This window comes from Homo sapiens, chromosome 3 (genome assembly GCF_000001405.40).
Source record: "Homo sapiens chromosome 3, GRCh38.p14 Primary Assembly".
NCBI lineage: Eukaryota > Metazoa > Chordata > Mammalia > Primates > Hominidae > Homo > Homo sapiens.
In genome coordinates, this window is record NC_000003.12 from 14,359,393 (window position 1) to 14,379,378 (window position 19,986).

General features: G+C 53.8%; 4 annotated features.

Annotated features, from left to right (window-relative positions):
* Window positions 7,987-8,505: an enhancer, noted in NCBI's record as "H3K4me1 hESC enhancer chr3:14408879-14409397 (GRCh37/hg19 assembly coordinates)". NCBI's record gives its function as "activates a minimal SCP1, AML or CMV promoter by ChIP-STARR-seq in naive H9 embryonic stem cells {active_cell/tissue: H9 hESC(naive)}" and the evidence as "EXISTENCE:reporter gene assay evidence [ECO:0000049][PMID:30033119]".
* Window positions 12,413-12,652: an enhancer, noted in NCBI's record as "active region_19504". NCBI's record gives its function as "activates an Ori minimal core promoter by ATAC-STARR-seq in GM12878 lymphoblastoid cells {active_cell/tissue: GM12878}" and the evidence as "EXISTENCE:reporter gene assay evidence [ECO:0000049][PMID:35858748]".
* Window positions 17,086-17,604: an enhancer, noted in NCBI's record as "H3K4me1 hESC enhancer chr3:14417978-14418496 (GRCh37/hg19 assembly coordinates)". NCBI's record gives its function as "activates a minimal SCP1, AML or CMV promoter by ChIP-STARR-seq in naive H9 embryonic stem cells {active_cell/tissue: H9 hESC(naive)}" and the evidence as "EXISTENCE:reporter gene assay evidence [ECO:0000049][PMID:30033119]".
* Window positions 17,605-18,121: an enhancer, noted in NCBI's record as "H3K4me1 hESC enhancer chr3:14418497-14419013 (GRCh37/hg19 assembly coordinates)". NCBI's record gives its function as "activates a minimal SCP1, AML or CMV promoter by ChIP-STARR-seq in naive H9 embryonic stem cells {active_cell/tissue: H9 hESC(naive)}" and the evidence as "EXISTENCE:reporter gene assay evidence [ECO:0000049][PMID:30033119]".

Sequence of the window (19,986 nt, forward strand, 5' to 3'; positions counted from 1 at the left end):
CATATGTTGGAGCCACAGAAAAGTCTCCCACAGCTCCTCTTATTTGAGCCTCACGAACTAGATGCTTTCATTGTTCCCATCTTACAGATAAGTAAACTGAGGCTTAGGAAATTTGAGTCTCTTGCCCAGAGCAACGCAGCCCAAAAGTAGTACTGCTGGGATTAGAACCATGTCTGTTGGGCTTAAACTGCTCCTTCAAACACACTTCTTTCCTGCCTTGCATGCCCCCTGCCGACTTTCCTCACTTTCCAGTTTGGCTCAGCCTGAGATGCCAGCCTGAAGATGCTCCTGGCCAGTGTGGAAAACCACAGAACCTTCAAGAACAGGGTGGCAGCAGGGGCACACTGCATACTCAGGCCTCTGCAGGGCTGTCTCCGGGCGAGGAAGCGGAGGGTCAGGGCCCTAAGGCCTGTGGTGGCAGGAAAGGGGGGAATTAAGGGGAAGCCAGTTCCAGGTGGGGTGAAGACAAATTGACACCCAACAGAACAATGGGCTACTTGGACAGGAAGTGAGCACCCCAGCCTCGGAGGTATAGTATGAAGGGGACAGACAGGGAGACAGGAGATCTATACGTCTTGGTCCCAACCAAATCTGCACACCCGAGTTTCCAGGAGCCCCACCTCTCCTGGGAAAAACCATTCCTAGCCACCTGCCACTGAGGTCGGCTCCAGGAAGTGTCAAGGCCTGCCTGGGGGATCTGTTGCCTTCCAGGGGTTCCTCCTCAGACGTTTCCAGCCCCTTGAAAACAGCACCCAAACAGAACCTGAAGAAAAAGTGCTCACATGTGCGGGACTGCTCTGTGGGATCCTGTCTCTCCCCTGAGCACAGACACAGGAGCACAGAGAGGGGGAGTGAGTAACCAGGCGTCACACAGCACAGTCCAGGTGGGCCTCCTGGAGAACGGATGTGACCAGGCTCACCCTCAGGGTGAGACCTCTCGCTTGGGTCAGAGGGTCCTTGACGTTGCCCTAATCAGGAATGAGAGTGTTTGTTTTCAGCCAAATATTTCCCTGACCGCAGACGAGACGGGATGCGACTGCACATTCCAGAGTCCTGGCAGCTTAAGAAACCATGCTGTGGGGTCTGCCTGGTCCCCTTGCCTCCTCCTGGGGGCCTGGTGCCCACCCCCCAGGCCCTGGGGTCTGGCTGCCAGCTTGGATGAGAACGTTGTTTGTAGCAGAAGGTGTTGGCAACACCCCAACACCTCTTCTCTCCTCATCCTTCTGGACCCCCCAGGTCTCAGCCCCATGGATGCTAATCTGGCTTGTGGAGGTTTCACCAGACCCTGGGAGATGAGCATCCCAGGCAGGGAGACAGCATGTACTGTCTTGTGGCCCAGAGGCATGACAACGGTGTGGCCTCCCTGGAGAAGGCGTGTGTGCTCTGTGGCTGGAGCGTGAGTCTCCTGCCCAGCAAGGGTCGGGGTGAGAGAGGACAGGTATGGCCAGCTTGCAGAAGGCCCAGAGCACAAAGAATCTGTGGTCTTGGAGCAATAGGGGGCCGTGGAAGTTGAACAGGGGAGTGCCAGGGTTAGAAATGTGTTCCAGGAATTTCCCTCCAGTGGACATCAGTGGCCAATTGAGTGGACAGGCAAATGCATGGGCACCAGAAGGCTGGGGAGTAGGCTGAAGCAGGGACAGCCAAAGCGGGGTGCAGAGGGTGGGACAGGATGAGAGGAAAAGGCAGAGTCAGGTCATCAGCTAGCCGTGAGACTGATAGATGTGGATATTAGGGTCCTCGTTTACAGAAGAGGAAACTGAGGCTTAAAAGGATGAGAAGTGATTTGCCCAGCTGCCTGGGGAGCAGTGGAGCTGGCATCATGGACTCCGATTCCACTGCCATTTCTCTCTACTGTATCCACGTTGGTGGAGTTCACAGCCTTGACCACCTGTGGTCAGGATTTCTGAGGTAAGTCACATTCCCCACCCAGGGCCCTGGTCAGAGGCAGCATGTCTCCAACCCCGGCCCTGCTCAAGGCCCTGGCTCCTGCCAGAACTGTAGTAAGCCCACTCCCCCATACAGTCAATTTCTTCCTCTCCACTCCTTGGTGATTCCTGTTGAACTCCTACAGATCCCTTGATAGCCAACTGAAAATCACCTCCTCATGGTTGCCCTCCAGACGACTGCAGACAGAATCAGTCTCTCCTCCAGACCCTGGGGTAGACACTTCCCAGTGTCCCATCACCTGGGAAGGCCTTGGGGGCAGAGGGCTTGTATCGTCTCTGCCTTCTCAGGACCCAGAACAGGGCCCGGTATACAGTAGATACTCCATAACTATTGATTACAGCGAGTGAATGCATGAACAACTCGATGCTCACGCCCCAGCACAGATGATCAAAGATAGGTTTTGAAGCCAGGCAGCCCCGGCCAACTCCTGTCTCTGTCTCTGGCCAGCTGGGTGGCCCTGGGGCTTCAGCTGCCTGAACCTCAGTTTCCTTTTCTGTAGACCGTTGGCAACTGTCCTGAGCGTGCAGCCTGAAAAGCAAATTCAGTAACAGACATAGCCCAGCAGAGCACTTGAGAGCATGGTCCCTGAAGCCAGCTGGCCTGGGTTCAAATCCTGACTCTGCCATTGACCAGCTGTGTGGCTTTGGGCAAGTTACGTGACTGCTCTGGGCCTCAGTTTCCCCATCTGTAAAATGGAGGATAGTAGTGCCAGTCTCATGGGGTTGAGAGTGAAATGAGGACATGCAGGTAAAATGCTTACAACAGGATGTGGCAAGTAGGAAGTGCCGGACACACGCTCGTGAACATAAAATGCCTAACACACGGTGTGCACTTGAGCAGGGTGAATCCGACTCCATCTCCTCTCACCTTCCCTCCTGCAGCCCAGGGAGAGCGCTGTAGGGGCCCTGTGCAGAAGCAGGGGGGCTCTGATTAGCTGTCAGAGCCAAGGCCCCTCTCTGCAGAAACATCAGTGGGTCAAACACTGCAGGCCCCGCTGTTTCTCCAAGTAGAAACCCCACACAGATATGGAATTAACCACCCATGTCAGCATGAATGGCACTCATTTCAGAGCCTTCCGTGGAGGGGGAAAATATCAAGCAAGTCCTGCTGAGAGAGGATTTCAACTCAACGGCTGCAGCCTCTGAGCTTGCTCTAGAAGCGCCTTTTTAATGAGCTTCTTTTATTTATTTATTTGTTATTTTATTTTATTTAATTAATTTACTTATTTTGAGATGGAATCTCGCTCTGTTGCCCAGGCTGGAGTGTAGTGGCATGATCTCCGCTCACTGCAAGCTCCGCCTCCTGGGTTCACGCCATTCTCCCGCCTCAGCCTCCTGAGTAGCTGGGACTACAGGAGCCCACCGCCACGCCCGGCTAAATTTTTGTATTTTTAGTAGAGACGGGGTTTCACCGTATTAGCCAGGATGGTCTCGATTTCCTGACCTCGTGATCCACCCGCCTCAGCGTCCCAAATTTTGGGATTACAGGCGTGAGCCACTGCGCCCGGCCTGATGAGCTTCTTTTAAGTCTCAAATCAAGTGTTTTCTTCCACTTGGCAAGGTGAGTATTGCTGTGAGCATGATTATTTTAGTTACTGCATTTTCTGGGCTCTAAGTATAGGTGATGCACCCAAATTATGTGACTTAGTCCCTTTAGCCCAGTGATGAGAAAGTATCATTCCCAGTTGAGGGAGGGGGACACTGAGGCTCAGAGAGGTTGCCAACCAAGCCCAACGTCACACAGCATGGAAGCAGAGTCACGATTTGAACTTATGTGAGTCTGATGCCAAAGGCAGTGATCTGAAACACCGGTCTCAGCACTGGCTACACACTGGAATCAACAGGGGAGCTTTGAGCAGTCCTGATGGCTAGGTGGAGTCCCAGAGGGGCTGATCCTGAGCTGCTCCCCAGGAGATTGCACCCAGCAGCCAGATTGGCAGGTCAGGTCCAGGAGACAGAGACACCATATCCAGGGGAGACACATCCAATCAGAAAGAGATAATCCACAGAGCTCTAAACCTTGCCCTTCCCCAAGGATGGAGGGACCATCTGTGTCTTGTGAACTGAAAAAGCCCCTACCCCTACCTTGGTGCCAGTTAATTAGTACAAACCCCAACCCCAGCCAAATCCAAGGTCAGCACCCACTGCTCTAACACACTCTGCTGCCTTACACCGTGACCCTCCTGTGCTGGAGGTGAGGATGCCCAGGCACAGAGACATGGAAACACCTGCCCAAGGTCACACAGCTTTGAAGCACTCAGCCTCAGGCTTCTTCGACCCCGGCCTCCTTGCAGTGAGGGGTGAAGGTGATGAGCAGGGTCATGGAGGCACAGCTGGAGAAGCAGGTGGTGTTTAGCAAAGATCACAGCAGCCCTGGGGACCTGAGACTTGGTCCTCTGGACTCTGAGGAAGCAGATGGTAGGTTTGGGGGCCCAGAGGCAGCATCAAGTCCCTTAGCAGGGCAAGTCACGGGGGACAGGGGGCCATGTCCAGGGAAAATATGTGCAAATGAGAGAGATGCAATCATGAACCTCTAAACCTTGCCCCGCTCAAGGATGGAGTGACCATCTGTGCCTTGGTAAGCAGCTACCCTGGGTCCCCACACCCTAGTGCCAATTTAATCGTTAAAGACCCAGACCTCAGCCAAATGCAGACTCTGAATTTCTGGAAAGCTCCAACGGTCAGCAAGGAGACAGCAGGTCTTGGGATAGAATTTCTCCAGGAGCCCCTTCTGACCTCCCTGACCATCGTCTAGGCTGGAGACTCACCACATCCTCCCCATGTGTCCTGGGCCCCCGCTTCCTCTTAGGGCTCAGCAGAGGCCGGGGCTTTCCCAGTTTCTCTTCTCTTATTAGCAGTGGGATCATTGCTTCAAACAGAATCTTTGGAATTTGGTTGATCCAGACTTTGACTCAGGCCCATTTATTTTGACGTTCCAAAGAAATGTCTCTGAGCCTGCATCTTGCCTGTAGGGACAATGTTTTCCTTCCTCTAAAAGTTCCTCTCAAATCCAAACACCAGTCCACATTCCCTGAGGCTGGTGGATTCCACATCCTCCGAAAGATGCTCCGTTCTAATTCTAGTTCTGCTACCTCCCAGCAGAGTGGCCTTGGGCGGGTTACCAACTTCTCTGAGTCTCAGTTTCCTCATCTGTAAAATAGACCCCTAGCTCATACTCATAAACAGGCCACCAAAATTAAATGAGATAATGGCATGACGATCTTTGAGGCATGCGGGAGGCATTCGGTCATGGAAGCTTAATTGCAATAAGAGGGGAACTGCGAGCCACCCAAGGTCCTGCAGACTCTGGGATCCACATCCCCTGTGGCCTGCAGCTCTGACCCCAAATCATTCATTGTTCAGTTGCCAGTGATTGATCCCAAGTGGCCGTGCTATGACACAAATACCTATGCACTCTCTCTCTACACCCAGGCCAAAGTACACATTGGCTTTAATAATTAATATAACGAGCCTGAGCCCTGGCCAAGAGACCCATTGGGTGCCAGCACCTCTCACACCCACCTCTAAAGCTCTCATGCTCCATCCACACTGCCGCTGCGCTCATCTAGACCCCCACTGGTGCTCATTCCCTCACTCCCCACCCCACCCCTTGCCCTGCTTCCAGGGTCAGCCCCTCCAGTGGATTCTCTGCCCAGCTGGAGCCATAGAGGTTGTTTTAAAGCACTGCAGTCATCTGGCTACCACCCTCCATGGCTCCCCATTCCCCTCATATCAGTCTCTGGAAGCCTTTTGTGACCTGGCCACAGCCAACCTCTCCATCACCCCTGGGCTCCGCTATACGTTCTTCCTGCCCTGCACCTCTTGCAGCTTCCCAAATATGCCAAATTCTCTCTTGCCTCTGAACCTCTGCACAAGCTGTTCCTTCTTTCTACCAGATACCCTTTCCCCAATTTCCCCTGCTGACTAACTCTTTTTCATCCTTCAGCTCAAGTGCCTGGGGCCTTGAGTCTTTTCTGTGTAGGTCTTCATAGGTGACGTGGGCTTCCTCACAACATGGTGGCTGGATTCTAAACATGAGCATCCCAAGAGAATTGGATGGAAGGGGTATTGCCTTTATGACATAGCCACTCAGCATTGTCCTGCCATTGTCACAGGCCCACCCAAATTCAAGAAAAGAGAATATGTGGCCTCACCTCTCAGAGACGGGTGTGAGTGTCACCACAAGAAGAATGGGATGGGAGCTGTTGTGGCCATCTTTGGAAAATATAAAATGTCACCGAGGGGGAAGGTACATGTAAGAACTATGTAAGTACTGTGGCTGGGGACATTCAGTACGAGGGCAAATGTCCCTGATCCTCATTGTCTTAACAGCTAGCCCTTTGGTAGACAGCATGGCCCCGAATCAGTCAGGAAAGCTTAGCTGTGTCAGTCCTGTCTGCAAGTTCATGAAGCATTGGGGAAGATTTCTGTCAGTAATGGGAGCATTTACCATTTAACATGTTTTGAATTTTAAAGCTCCAAGTGTTGGTGATCTTGAAAATTCCTCGGTGGGCCTGAAAAAGTGAAATAGGCCACAGATAACTCCTAAGAGGTTTGGGGAAGGAAGGCCAGGGACTTTTCCAAGTATGCCTGGCCCACTAAGGGTCACGTCCCCCAAAAATTATCCGGAGAAAAGGATATGCCTGGCACCCATTCCCTCAACCACAGGAAAGGCCTGGAATATTCTGGGGAGATGTTCCAAAGGGATCTGGTGTGTGCACATTCCGTGCAGAGGTTGTGGAACAGAATCGTAGGGCGGGGGTGAGGGTGCTGGCGTGGGCAGAACCCAACCCTAATTTCCTCTCTTCTTGTTTTTAACCCTAGGCTCTGCCTCCTTTTTCCTCTTGCCAGTTGGAGCCAAATCATTCAGATTTCCAGATTGTGAGGAATCCTTCAGCCCCCGTGGTATAGCCACTGACACACTATCCAGCTGCCACAGTTGTGGGTGTTGAACCCTACCCTTACCCTTAGGCCTTCGGTGGAACCACGTGGATCTCCCCGGGGCCTCCAGGAGGAGAAACGTGCTCTGTCTCCTTGGCCAGGAAAGGTGAAGCTGTGTGACCTAGAACACACACTCCTGACCTCTCTGAGCCACTCCTAGTAGCAGGCTGTGAGCTGCTTGTCTCACTACGTAGCTAGGAAATAACAGCATGAAAGTGCCTCAGAAAGGAACTACCAGTGGCTGTACAGTTACTACACATCGTTAGTAATAACGGCACTCCCCTCCCAAGACGACAGCAGAAAGGGATTCAGCAGCAGAAGGCACAGCTCTTTTGCTTCTGGGTGCCAGCAAACCCTTCATTGAGCACATATTGAGCATCTGCTGTATATCAGGGCCTGGGCAGCACCATGGACACAATAATGCACTCGGTGTGCACAGCCCCTGCCCTCAAAGGCCCCCCATGTTGGCTGTTCCAGAAACACAGGAGCTGGGGAGGTGGCATCAAAGCAGAGACCTAAAAGATACTGAGGAATTAGCCGAATGGAAAAGACAGGGTGATTTCCTGATAGAGGAACTGCATATGCAAGGGCCCAGGGTCCAGGGATCAGGGGGCTCCTGGGGAAAGACCAGCCATTCTGATGGCTGGAGCGTAGAGCCTCAGCACCCATGCAGAGCTTGAGGGGGATTAAATAGTAAGCGAATAAAGAAAGAAAATGCACAGAGTGTTAGGAAGTGGTGAGAGCTACAGAGAATCATAAAGAGACGGGCGTAGGGATGGGGGTGGGTAGGAATGGGGGTGAGTAAGGATGGGACAGGGAGAGGGATGAGGTGGGTGTAAGGATGGCACAGAGGGTGAGGCTGCCATTTCAAATAGCAGGGAGCCTGCACTCACACGAGGACATTTGTGCAGAGGTCAAAGAAGTGAGGGAGTGAGCCCCGTGGGCATTTGGGGGAAGAGCATTCCCCGCAGGGGAAGCAAGAGCAAAGGCCATGGGCCATGCACTCCACACCTGAGGGGAGCTGGGGGGCGGGGGAGGGCCAGTGTGGCGGAGTGAGCCAGCAGGACAGAGGCGGAAGGAGAGGCGTGGGAATGTCGGGAGTCAGACCACTCAGTCTACTGTGGGGACCTGGGCTTCCATCCCAAATGAAAGGCAGCCACGGGGCTGCTCGCCAAGGCAGGGACGAGGGTAGATGTGGGTTTAACAGGATCCCTCTGGGGCCTAAGAGGAGAGGCTGAACGGGTAAGGGAGGAAGGAGCAAGGGAGGAGGCGAGAGAGATGATGCTGGCTGCACCAGGTGGTAGCAGTGGCCATGGTAAAGAGTGACTGGCTTCTGAATATATTTTGAAAGCAGAGCCACCAGAAACCGGAGCAAGAGAGGGGAGGGGAGGAGATGGGAGGGAAGAGAGGAGGGAAGGTGATGCGGGGAGGGGAGGAGAGGGGAGAGGAGGGGGTAGGGGACAATGGTGACTCCAGGGCACGCATACTTCTCTGTCCTCTCGCACTGCCTGACAGACATAATTAACACAGACCTTTCTCCCGTTGAGACCAGATTGGTTCTTGGAATCCTCCTCAACCCAGACCTACAAGGTGTCACTCCCACTAATCAGGATTGGATGTCCAATGAGGCCAGGAGGCAAAATGGGTTCACACAGGAATACGCGCCATCATTTGTGGGCATCTACCATGTGCTTGGCACTAACTAGTTGCTTTTCCAATTCTCTCATTTCAAGGAGAGACAAACTCTGGGATTGGCAGCAGCATCCTTAACAGATGACACCAGGGCTCTAGCAGTCCACACAGAACTCCCCAGCTAAGACGTTTAGAGCTAGGATTCAAATGCGGTGATCACTTATTCCAGTGCCAGCCCCAGCTCCCCATGGGAGACCCCCTCCTCACTCTGCTGAGGCCTCACCCACCACACCTGGGCCTCCTGGCCATGCCAGGACTCCACATTCCAACAGGCTGGTAGAGGCGGTTGTGGGCAGAGCATGCCTGGAGGCTGAGAACCGCAACTTCCAGCCCCGGTGCCATCCTGGGGCAGGGTGGCGCAGAGGGGCATGAGCGCCTGTGCCAGGAGCCAATGCTGCGGAGGGGCCCCACCCCACCTGGGGGCTGCCAGCCCGCCTGCCGGCCAAGGTCCTCACCAGTGCCTTCTCTCCTCTAGCACACCCATCAGCTCAGCATGAAGACTTGCTAAGGAAAAGGTACAACTGGGAACGCGAAGCTGTCCATGCCTGGAGATGATTCCAGCAGCCAGGAGGTGGGGCTGGCCTCTTACCTGGGTACACTGTCTCCATGGGAGCATCCTCCACGCAGTTAGAGTGGGCTGTTGATGTGTCTGTATGGACTGTGAAGGTAACTAAATGCCTGGGACTTAGAAGGCTCCACGGGCAGGCTCCAGAGGCCAGCCAGCATGAGCTCAGGTCCAGCTCTGCCACTTACTTGCTGTGCCATCTCAGGCCGGTTACATTACCCCTCTGGCCCTCTTTCCCGGTAAAAAAAGGGCTGGTAATAGCATCCACTTCATAAGGCTCTGCAAGTACTGGGGGCAGGGGTAACTCACATGAAACAGTTAGCACAGTAAGTGCTGAGGAAGGTTAACCATTATTACCATTATGGGCATTCATCCCCGAGTTCTCAAGATTGACATGGACTTGAGCAAGCACCCAGGAAATCTGTAGGAAGCACAGTGAGGGCCAAGCTCCTTGGGGTGGTAGTTGAAGGATGAGGGGGCAAAGAAGACTAGAGGAGAGAGGAAGGAGGAGCTGAGTGTAAGCCCCTGCCAGCCACTGCTTTGCTGTGTGACCTTGAGCAAATCCATTGCCCTCTCTGGACCTCCATGTCCCCGTTGTTTACATTTGGGACATGCACAAAGGCCCTCTCAGCTCTGCATCTGTTTTTTGGTACCTGCCATGAGCAGGTAGAGCAACTTAATTAAATTAATTTGAATTAATTTTTAAAATTTTTAAATTTTTATTTTAATAAAATAAAAAAGATTTGGAGTGGGCTTGAGTCCCCCAGGGCCTCCCAGTTTCTTGGAGGGGGGCTCACTTTCCAAGGAAGGTAATTGGGTCATACTGGCTATGTGTTTTTTCCTGTGCACAGCCCTTCTAGCCCCGCTTCCCCACCAGACTGTGACCTCCTGGGGGTGGCCATGCTTGCTCCCAGTGCTCTGTGAAGCTCAGGCTCAGGCCTCCTTAATGCCAGGCCAACTCTTCCTCCTCCTGCCAGACTCATCTGGGCTCCACCTCCTCCAGGAAGCCTTCCTAGACCCAGGCTGAGTTATCTGAGTGGGCCTTCTCATGGGAGGGGGTCTGGTTTGGGGCCTGTCTTCCTTCCAGGTACCCAGAACAGGAACCACACTGGCCTGGCATCTGGAGTGAACAAAGGGATGTTGCCCAGCAGATGTTTGTGGAATGGACAGGTCCTGAAGTGCCCACAGGAGCTTGAGAAGAAATCCAGGAAGCCTGGTCAGCCTCAGCTCAGCCCCACCTGACTGGGACCTCTGGCAAGTGACCAACCCTGCCGAGCCTCCCTCCTGCCACCTGTTGGATGGGGACTCTCAGCACTGTGGTGAGGATTAAGCGAGTCAGGAGACTCAGAGCCTGGCGCAGCCCTAAAGACAACAGACTCACCTGGGAGAGAGTTCATCCCCTGCAGATGCTGTCCCGGCCAGCCACCTGGCCCGGGAGTTCACCTCGGCTCCCCTCCGCCACTTGCTGTTCTGACCTTTTAGCAAACAGCAAGCAGGTCTCTGGCTCTGAACTCTCCCAGGTAACAGCATCTACAGAAAATGTGAGAACTGTGTCCTGTCTTTATTATCTTTGTTTTCATGGTACCTTCTGTTTATAGCAGCCTCTTCTCAGATATGATGTGGTGTTTCCTTTTTTAAATATGCTGACCTAAGCTGGGCACGGTGTCTTGTGCCTACAGTCCCAGCTACTTGGGAGGCTGAGGCAGGAAGATGGTTTGAGCCCAGGAAGTTGAGACTACAATTAGCTAAGACTGCGCACTGCACTTCAGCCGGGGCGATAGAGTGAGACCCTGTCTCTAAAAAGATAAATGAACAGGCTGGGTGCAGTGGCTCATACCTGGAATCCCAGTGCTTTACGAGGCCAAAGCAGGAGGATCGTTGAGCCCAGGAGGTCAAGGTTACAGTGAGCTATGATCGCACCAAAGTACTCCAGCCTGGATGACAGAGCAAGACCCTGTGGCCAAAATAAATAAGTGAATAAATCAGCTGACCCAGCCCATAGCATCAGGTAGCAGGAGAGCTAAGCACAAGGACTCTGAGACCACGTGAGCCAGGTTCAAATGCCAGCTGTGCCTCTTCATTGCTGTATGCCCTCAGGTGGGTCTCCTTGCCTCACTTTCCCCACCTGTACAGTGTAAGGATAGCAGCAGGACCCCTGTCTTGCCTGAGGGCTATTGTAAAGGTTGATGTGTGCAAAGTTCCTACACCCGGGCTTAGGGCACAGTCAGGGTTCCCTACTTCTGTGAAGACGTTTTACAAAGTGAGCTGACACAAGCGAGCCTGGTGACTTGCAGACACCACAGCCTGCGAAATGCCAGCCCAGTCCACCCCTTCTGCCTGCCCTGCCCCAGGAGGCCTGCTGCTACCTGCCTACCTCCCTGGCAAGCCCCCGGCAGCACTGCTGTAATCCCCAGGCTGGGTAAACACATGATTAGGTTTCTCAGCTTTTGTCCTGTTACTCGGAGCAATTCTCAGGCCCTGAGCACTCCTCCCACCAGCATCACCCCACACCCTGACTCCCAAAGCCCTAGGCCCCGGGACCAGCTCAGCCCCTAGCCCATGCCTCAGTTTCCTCATCTGTGAAATGGGCAATGATACCTGCGTGTCATTCATGAATAGGCATAATGCTGTTCTTACCTCACGACCCATGGTGAGAAGTGGGGCTGCTGTCATCATGCATACTCACCATTCTAGTGTCGCAGGTATTGTTCACCTGTTGACTGAGACCTTTACTGAGGGCCCCGAGGGATGCCACTGTGCCTTCACCAGCCTGCCCATTCCCACCTCTCAGCCTCTTCCTCAGCTGGGACCCTCCCGGGAAAGCCCTTCCACTATCGGCTCATCTTTCCCGGCCTCTGAACATCCCACAATGTGGAACCCAGGGGCCATTAATTGCCACCTGGAGTGTGGGTTAGGGTGAGGAGGGAGAGAGCAGAGGCCACTCAGATCTGGAGTACCAATGATGTGGCCTTGGGAAGGCCACTTAACCCTGTGTGTCTCTGTTTCTGCATCTATAAAATGGGAACAGTAACCTCTGCTCCTCGTGAGGTTATGGTGGTGATTTTATAAGCCACATACCCGGCACATGGCCAGACTCCCGTGGCTATGCCCACTGGGTGAGAAGGAAACGGGGAGGAAACCCTGCCTCCATGAGGTGGCTTCTGGCACTGTATTTGGCCTTATTACATAGGGAAAAAATTTACCTCATTTGCACTGTCCGATCTGACCTCCCTGGGGAGATGCCCAGCACTTCTCCATAGCACCCCCATTCATTCTGCCTCCACAGTGGCCAGTGCACAGCTCCCAGACCCCCTATCTGAGCAGCTCCTCCCCTGCTCGAAGCCTCTGATGAGTCCTTACTGCCCTCAGCCACTCCCCTACTGCCTCAGCTGGTGTCCCGGCCAGGCCCGGTGACAAGTGATTCCCCATAAGTGCCTCATGCTCTTCCGGTTTGGCCAGCAGCCCAGAAGCCTCTTGGGCCAGCCCCACCCCATGACCTGCTGAAATCTTATTTGTACTTCAAAGCCTCAGGCATGCCACCCTCCTGGACAGAGCTGGAGACCTGGGATCAGCCAGGCCTGCGTTTATATCACTGCCCACTACTCACTTGCTGCCTGGTCTAGGCTAAGTTGCCTTGCCTCTCTTAGCCTCAGTTTTCTGATCTGCAAAACAGGTTCCTGCTGGAGATTAAGGATGATGTAATTTATTGGATGGTTCCAATGCTCTAGACATGCAGCCAGGCATATTACCAGCAGGATTCATTTTCTCTTCCCAACTGTTCTGTGACCTGGGGCACAACCAGCATTCGGAAGCAATGACATCATGTATACTCATTCATCTAGTCCTCAAAGCAACACCATAGGAGAAGGACTGGGATTACCCCCACTTTATATATGGAGAAACTGAGGCACAGGATGGTGAAGTGAGCAGCCCGAGGCCACACCCTAATACATGACAGGGCTAGGATTCACTCCAGGCAGCCCCGCCCCTGGACCCTAGCACTCAGCCATTGTGTGACAGGATCTCTGAACATCCCCATTTTAGATGGTGGAACTGAGATCCAGAGGGAAAAATGACTCCCCCAGATCTGCACAGCTGGGACCCAGCAGAGCCCAACACACAGCAGGTGCTCTGGAAACATTTTCCTAATCCTACTTCTCAGACCTGGGGAAGTAGGGTGGTTCCTAGCTGACACTGTCCCTCCATTACCCTTTCCTCACCCCAGGGGTCCTACTGGATCCAAGCCGGACATGGTGGGCAGGGAGGAGTGCTCGGTAGGCTGAGGCTGCTTCAGCTGCTGCCTCCAGCTGCCCCACGTTGGGGCCCTGTGCCTGCTGTCTGGGGACGCGGCTGCTGGGCTCCCTGGTGCTCCCCACCCCCACATTCCAATCTATGTATCCCCACCCCCGTGTCTACCTGTGTGCAGTTGATTCTGTTCTCTCCACTTTTGTCCCTGACTGTATCTGACTCCTAGGCTTCTCTCTCTCTCTCTCCCTGCCCCCTCTCTCTCCTTCTCTTTTCTACTCCATCTTGTCTCTGCCTGCTGTCTCTGTGGGGTATCCACTCTCTGTCTGGGTTCCTCTCTGTCACTCTCTCTCATCATCTCTGAGATATGGGACATATATCCATGGTTCTTTGCCACAGACATTTGGGGCTCTCAAAAGTGAGAACGTGCAGCTGGAAATGCCTCAGAGACCACCTTGTTCCACCAATGGGCAGTCAAAGCCAGATGTGCCTTAAGACTTGCCTGAGATCGCTCGGCAGGTGAGAGAGGGTAAGAAATTTCCCCACCCCACGGATTCAGCCAGAGGTGTGCCGCCCACGGGGTCCAGGCTCTGCAGCCCCTCCTCCTCCTACCCAGCTCCGAGACTGCTGGGGTCTCCACACAGCAGCCCACCCAAGGCTGGCGGGTGAGGGCCAAGGGCTCTGTCTGGTGAAGAATAAACTCTGAGGAAGTTTTAGGGCAGAAGAGAACAACTGGACCATTCCGGAGGAAGTTGTAAGGGGGGTAGATACTACACATGTGCCTCAGTTCCTCCACCTGTCTCTCTGCATCCATGATTTTCCATCCCTTGGAGGGCCATGGCTGGGGAAGGACAGTGGGACCATCCTCAGGGCCCTCCGGAAGTGGTCTGCCTGCTGGCGTCGACAAGCACCAGTTTGGGGGACATGTCACCCTCCTGTCCTCAGTCACAATCAACTTCTCACTGGACCCTCTCCCCAGCCCAAAACCCAACCCTTCTATGGAGTCCTCCAGGCTCAGCTCAAGAGCCTTTCTTTCAGGAAGGTTCAGTGTGCCCCACCCACAGCGAGAATGTCCCCCTCCCTGGCTGCCTCACTTGTTGTCTCTCTAGGCTCTCCTGCCTTCTCTCTCTCTCTCTCTCTCCCCCTGTCTCTCTGGCTCTCTCCCTTTGCCACCTGCCCCCACACCTCCACACCTCCACACCCTGACACTTACCAGTCCCGCTTCCCTTGCTGTCGGCGTTCATCCTGGAGTCATGTGACATACTCCCCACCCTGCCCCTAAACTCTGTTTCCTGACCTCAATGCCAGCCCCTCTGCAGGGCACTGCCCCCTCCATGTCCCATGGAATCCCACACCCCCATGCAAGGGGTCCTCACTGGACAGAAGAGAACGCCGGGGCTCAGACAGAGCAGGCAACCTGCCTGAGGTCACACAGCCCAAGTGGCGGCAGCACCGATGTCAACACCCAAGCTGTCCGACCCGATTCCCAGGCTCTTGAATAGACCTGCCGTCTCTCCAGCTGGGGTAGGGCCTCTGTTCAGCCCATATCCCCTCACCATGGGGTCTTTCTGAAACAGATAAACCACAGGGGTGGAGTGGGGGCCTTGACACTCAGCAACACCCCGAGGAGGCTTCCCCTCAGGGCCTGGGCAGCCTGAGCCCTGAGCCGTTTCTGAGGGTGACCTGAATTGGCTCTTCCTGCCTGGTCTGTGTTTGTGTCAAGCTGGTGCCTGAGCGACGTGAGGGTGGGCAGGCTCCCCTGGCAGCAGCTGCCCCTGCCAGGATGGGCAGGGCCTGTGCAGGCACCAAGGATTGATGGTCTTTGCAGGGTGGGCAGCCGGGGCAGGCTGCGGAAATTCTGGGAGAAGCAGCTGCCTCACCCAGGGGAGTGGGAGGGAGGAGGAGAGAGGAGGGTGGCAGAGACAGCAGGAGGAGGGGTTTTCCTTGGGCTGTCCTTGCAGTGACATGCCTGCATGTCTGGGGCATGAGCTGACTGCCCAACTATGTCCACAGCCACCTACCAGGGCCCGCCCACCTTGGGGACAGGGCCGGCAGCCGGCAGCTTCAGGCTCCAAGATGCTCACCAGTGGCTTTGTAGCCTTCTCTCTGCCTAGGAACCCAGGAGGAAAGACACAGCCCCACTTCCTATAGCCAGGTGAGGGTCTAGGCACCTCCCAAAGCACATTCCACAAGGGAGGAAAGAGATGCGGAGGGAGCAGAGTGGCCTAGGGTCACACAGCCAGTACCCTCTCTGTGATGACAGCTTGTCTGCTGCCCCATTCTAGCTCCTAATTCTCAGTCATTCTCAGCCCCCCAGAGCCCTGTGTAGCATTTGCCCCTAAACAGATGTCCAGTGCTTGCTTGTTGAATGAGCGAATGAATAAAAACAGACAAAGCTGGGACAGAGGCACCTCAATGCCCTGAACAGTGTTCCAGCCTTCCTCTGGGCAGGTATGGTGATGATCCCCGTGTTATCAGTCAGGAAACTGAGGCTTAGAGTCTTAGAGTAGCATCCAGCTCAGGACTCTCCTATTTGGCGTCCTGGCAGGAGGTGTCTTACGGAGCCAGTGTCCACCCTGTGGCCTGCATGCTGTGTCCCCAAGCTACCTCTAGGGTGAAATGAGGTCATGGACGGATTTGGGGCTGGGAGTGGTTTCTGACCACTGGGCCACCTGCCCAGTGGATGCCAGGTCAAGCCCCCCTTCTTGGCCACCCCCTGAGAACTGAGGTGGCCCCAGGGCTAGGCCAACTGAATGTCTCTTCCCCTTTTTGATCATATTATTGAATATAAAGGAGCCTGGGAACCACACCCTTTGGAGCTCAACAGAGTTTTTTATGCCCTTAAGAAGCTGGCTGACCCCACACAGGCTCCTTAACCTCTCTGAGCCCCAGTTTTCCCACCCGTAACACAGGACCCCAAACCATGCCACCTGGATCAGAGGGAGTCAGACATAGGAACAACAAAAGGGGTTGCAGCCTTGCATGAAATACTACACAGCAGTGAGAATGCATGAATGGCAGCTACACATGCTGGCATCATGAGCCTCAGAAACACTACGGAAGGAGAAAAGGCAAGTTCCAGAAGAAGGCATTCAGTGTGATCCACTTTACATGAAGATTTAAAAAACACATATTTGGTATATATTATTTGTCAATACATTCATATGTATTAATAGTAAAAGAATAAAAATATACTTTGAACAAGAAGCATCAAGTTCCAGACAGTGGTTAGCTTTGGTGAAGACACGGAGGCATAGGTAGGTGTATGTTTTTGTTTTTGTTTTGAGACAGAGTCTCACTCTGTCGCCCAGGCCGGAGTGTAGTGGCACAATCTCAGCTCCCTGCAACCTCCGTCTCCCGGGTTCAAGAGATTCCCATGCCTCAGCCTCCCAAGTAGCTGAGATTACAGGTGCCTGGGCCCACACCTGGCTAATTTTTGTATTTTTAGTAGAGATGGGGTTTCACCATGTTGGCCAGGCTGGTCTCAAACCCCTGACCTCAGGTGATCCGCCCACCTCGGCCTCCCAAAGTGCTGGGATTACAGGCATGAGACACCACTCCCAGCCTGGTAGGTCTATGTTCAACCGATCCAAGATACAGGTTTGTTAAAATTTGACCTGTTCAGCATCAGTAGTCCTCCTCTCTCCAGCTGTCCAGCTGAGAGATAATGGGGATAAGTGCTGTTTTGGAGGTGTATTTTGACAGGACTTGCTTAGGGGTTGCATGTGCCTTCAGGCAACTACTTAACCTTGCCAAGCCTCAGTTTCCTCATCTGTGAAGTGGGGAAATAATCCCTGCATGGAGTGTTGAGAGGATTCAAGGCAGTCATGCATACACATAAAGCCCTCTGTGCAGTGCCTGGTGCACTGAGACACTCCTCCAGCAGTGGAAACAACTGAGGTCATCACTAACTTTCGAGGCGGACTGGGGGTGGGGGTCTGTGTGGCGAGCCTGAGACTTGGGGCCCCAGAGCTCATTAGCCCACTAGTAAGCCAGGCCTCTGTAGCTACCCCCATGGAAAGAGGTCAGGTCTGAAGACACTTCACTCCATAGCAATCCCTGCAAATCCCTTCCCGTGCAACTCACAGGCCCCACTAATCAGTCACATGGCTGACCTTGAACACGGAGGCTGACCCACACTTGAGTCCACCCACCCCCTCCCACTGTTGTGAAGCCCTGGCCTGAGGCGTCTGCTGCCCGGGGAGAAGAGAGGCCCATCCAGCACCAGAAGCCCGACATGTTTCTGGGAGCTGGGCTGAGAGCTGCCACACCTGCATCTGGGATCTGGGTGCCCACTTACAAGGGCGGAGAATAGGCCTGGCCCTGGCTTGGCCTGGCTCTGTGACCTTGACCGGTGCTTTGAGCTGTGACCCTTGTTTCCTCATGTGCTAAATGGGTGTATGATGGGCCCGCAGCAGGAAGATGATGTGTGGAAATTGCTTGGCTGGATGAAGCTACCTTTACTATTGGTATTTATCTCAAGGTCATCTCTAGGCCCTCTCCCAGACTCAGCATCATAACTTTAACCCCATGAGGTCAGAGGCCCTAACCCCCCATGTGACACTGTCCCCTACTTGCCTAAATTCTCCTGGACATCAAAACCAGCTCAAATGCTACCTCCTCCTGGGCCTTCCCTGATTCCTTCAGGGAAAGAATGTGTGTTTGACTCCCTCTGATCCAGCTTTCTCTGTTCTCTGAGGTCCTGCTGCCCTTCAGCCCAGCTTTCCTGGCACCTCTGGTTGTGAATCTGAGACTTGGCTGTGTGCAGTACTCTTGCTAAAGAGGCTGCTTCAGGCTTTGGTGGCTGCGTTCATCCTTGCGCGGTGCATAGGGCTCTGTTCACTGAATGAATCTTCTGCATGGAGAGAGTTCTGGGCTTAACTGGAAACTCCATGAGGCCAGGCCTGCTTGCTTCACCACTGGATGCCCAAGGCCTAGCATGGTGCCTGGCATACAGGATGCCTGGAGAATGGGCAAGGAGGCTAGAGGGCTGGTGAGGCTCTTTCCTGTTCTTTGCCATCTGATGCCTGTGTGCCTGCAAGCTAGGTCCTGGGTATTCTCACCTCCTGACAGCCACACCCTGTGTGGGCCCCTCCCACACTGAAGGGGACTGACCTGTGTGACCCATAGGATATTGCAGAAATGATGGTATGTGACTTCCGAGGTTAAGTCATATAGGCATTGCAGCTTCTGCCCCACTCTCTGGAACCACTTCCTTTAGGGGAAGCCACGGGTCTGGCACCCTGTGCAGAGGAACTGAGTCCTCCCACCAACAGCTAGCACCGACTCCCAGTTTTGTGAGTGAGCTGCCTGGACAGCAGAGCCTCTGGCCCCAGGCAAGCCTCCTGATGGCAGCAGCCCCCTCTGACACCTTGACAGTGACCCATGAGAGACCACCCCACACCCCCAAGCAGAAACACCCAGCTAAGCCACTCCCAAATTCCTGACCACAGAATATAACAAAGAGTTATGGTTTTGAGTCTTTCTGTTTGGGGCAATTTGTTACACAGTGATAGGTAACTGATATGAAAAACCTGAGCTCCAACCATGTCCCTTGGGGCCAGCAGGATTTCAGGCAGAGGCTGCCCCAGGTTGCTAGAGGATGGCCAGCCAAGTAAAGATCACACACAGGGCCGCAGAGGCCTGATCCTCACCTCCCAGACAAAGGCAGGGAGGTGTAAGCCTGAGCCCTAGGCAGGGGAGAGAGTTCTCTGTTCCAGCCCCCAGCTGGGAACTTTGTGTTCCCAAGAGGCAGACATTGTTTGTCACTCTGGGGTGACATGCATAGTGCTCCCTAAAGGCAGAGGAGAGACACTGGGCCTCCCCAGTGATTCATAGTGTTCAGAAAGGAGGGGTTGAGCATGTTCCTAATCAGAAGCTGCTGCAAGGCCTGCCTGGTCACCATTTGTTCTGTTTCTGTATCTCGGCGTCAAACCTGATAAGCCAAGGTTTCCCCGAATGCAAGCACACCCAAGTAGGACCAGCACATCTTCTCTGCCAGGCCCCAGGCTGGGCACACAAAGGTGAACTGGCCATGATCTCCATCCTCTGGAAGATCAGCTCAGGCAACTAACATTGACTGAGCTCCTTCTGTATGCAGGTGCTAGGAGTAGCACCATACTACTCAGAACCCAGCCACTTCACTGTGGAACCATCATCGCCTGCTGGAACTGGTGCAGTAGGCTCCTCACAGGTCTTCCTGCTCCTGACCTTGCCCCGAGCCTTACAATCCATTCTGCAAATGGAGCTCAGCAGGGTCTCTACAAATGATAAATCAGATCATGTCTTGGCTGCTCGAAACCCTCCACTGACCTTGACATAAAAATGAAAACTTGCCTTTAGAGTGGAGAGATCTGGGGGGTCACCACATGACCAATCTGAAATCATTGGGACCACCTGACATTTTGGGCCTCTTGGTGGCATGAGATATAAGGAAGACACAGCCACACTTGGGCTCAACTTATTCAAGGCATTTCTCTTTATATAAAGTCAGGGAGGCAGAACCCATTAAAAGTCACTGTAAGGAAACCATCAGATACCACAACTGTCCTGGACTCTTCTTTAGAGTCACAGTTGCCAAACACACCCCAAATAGCC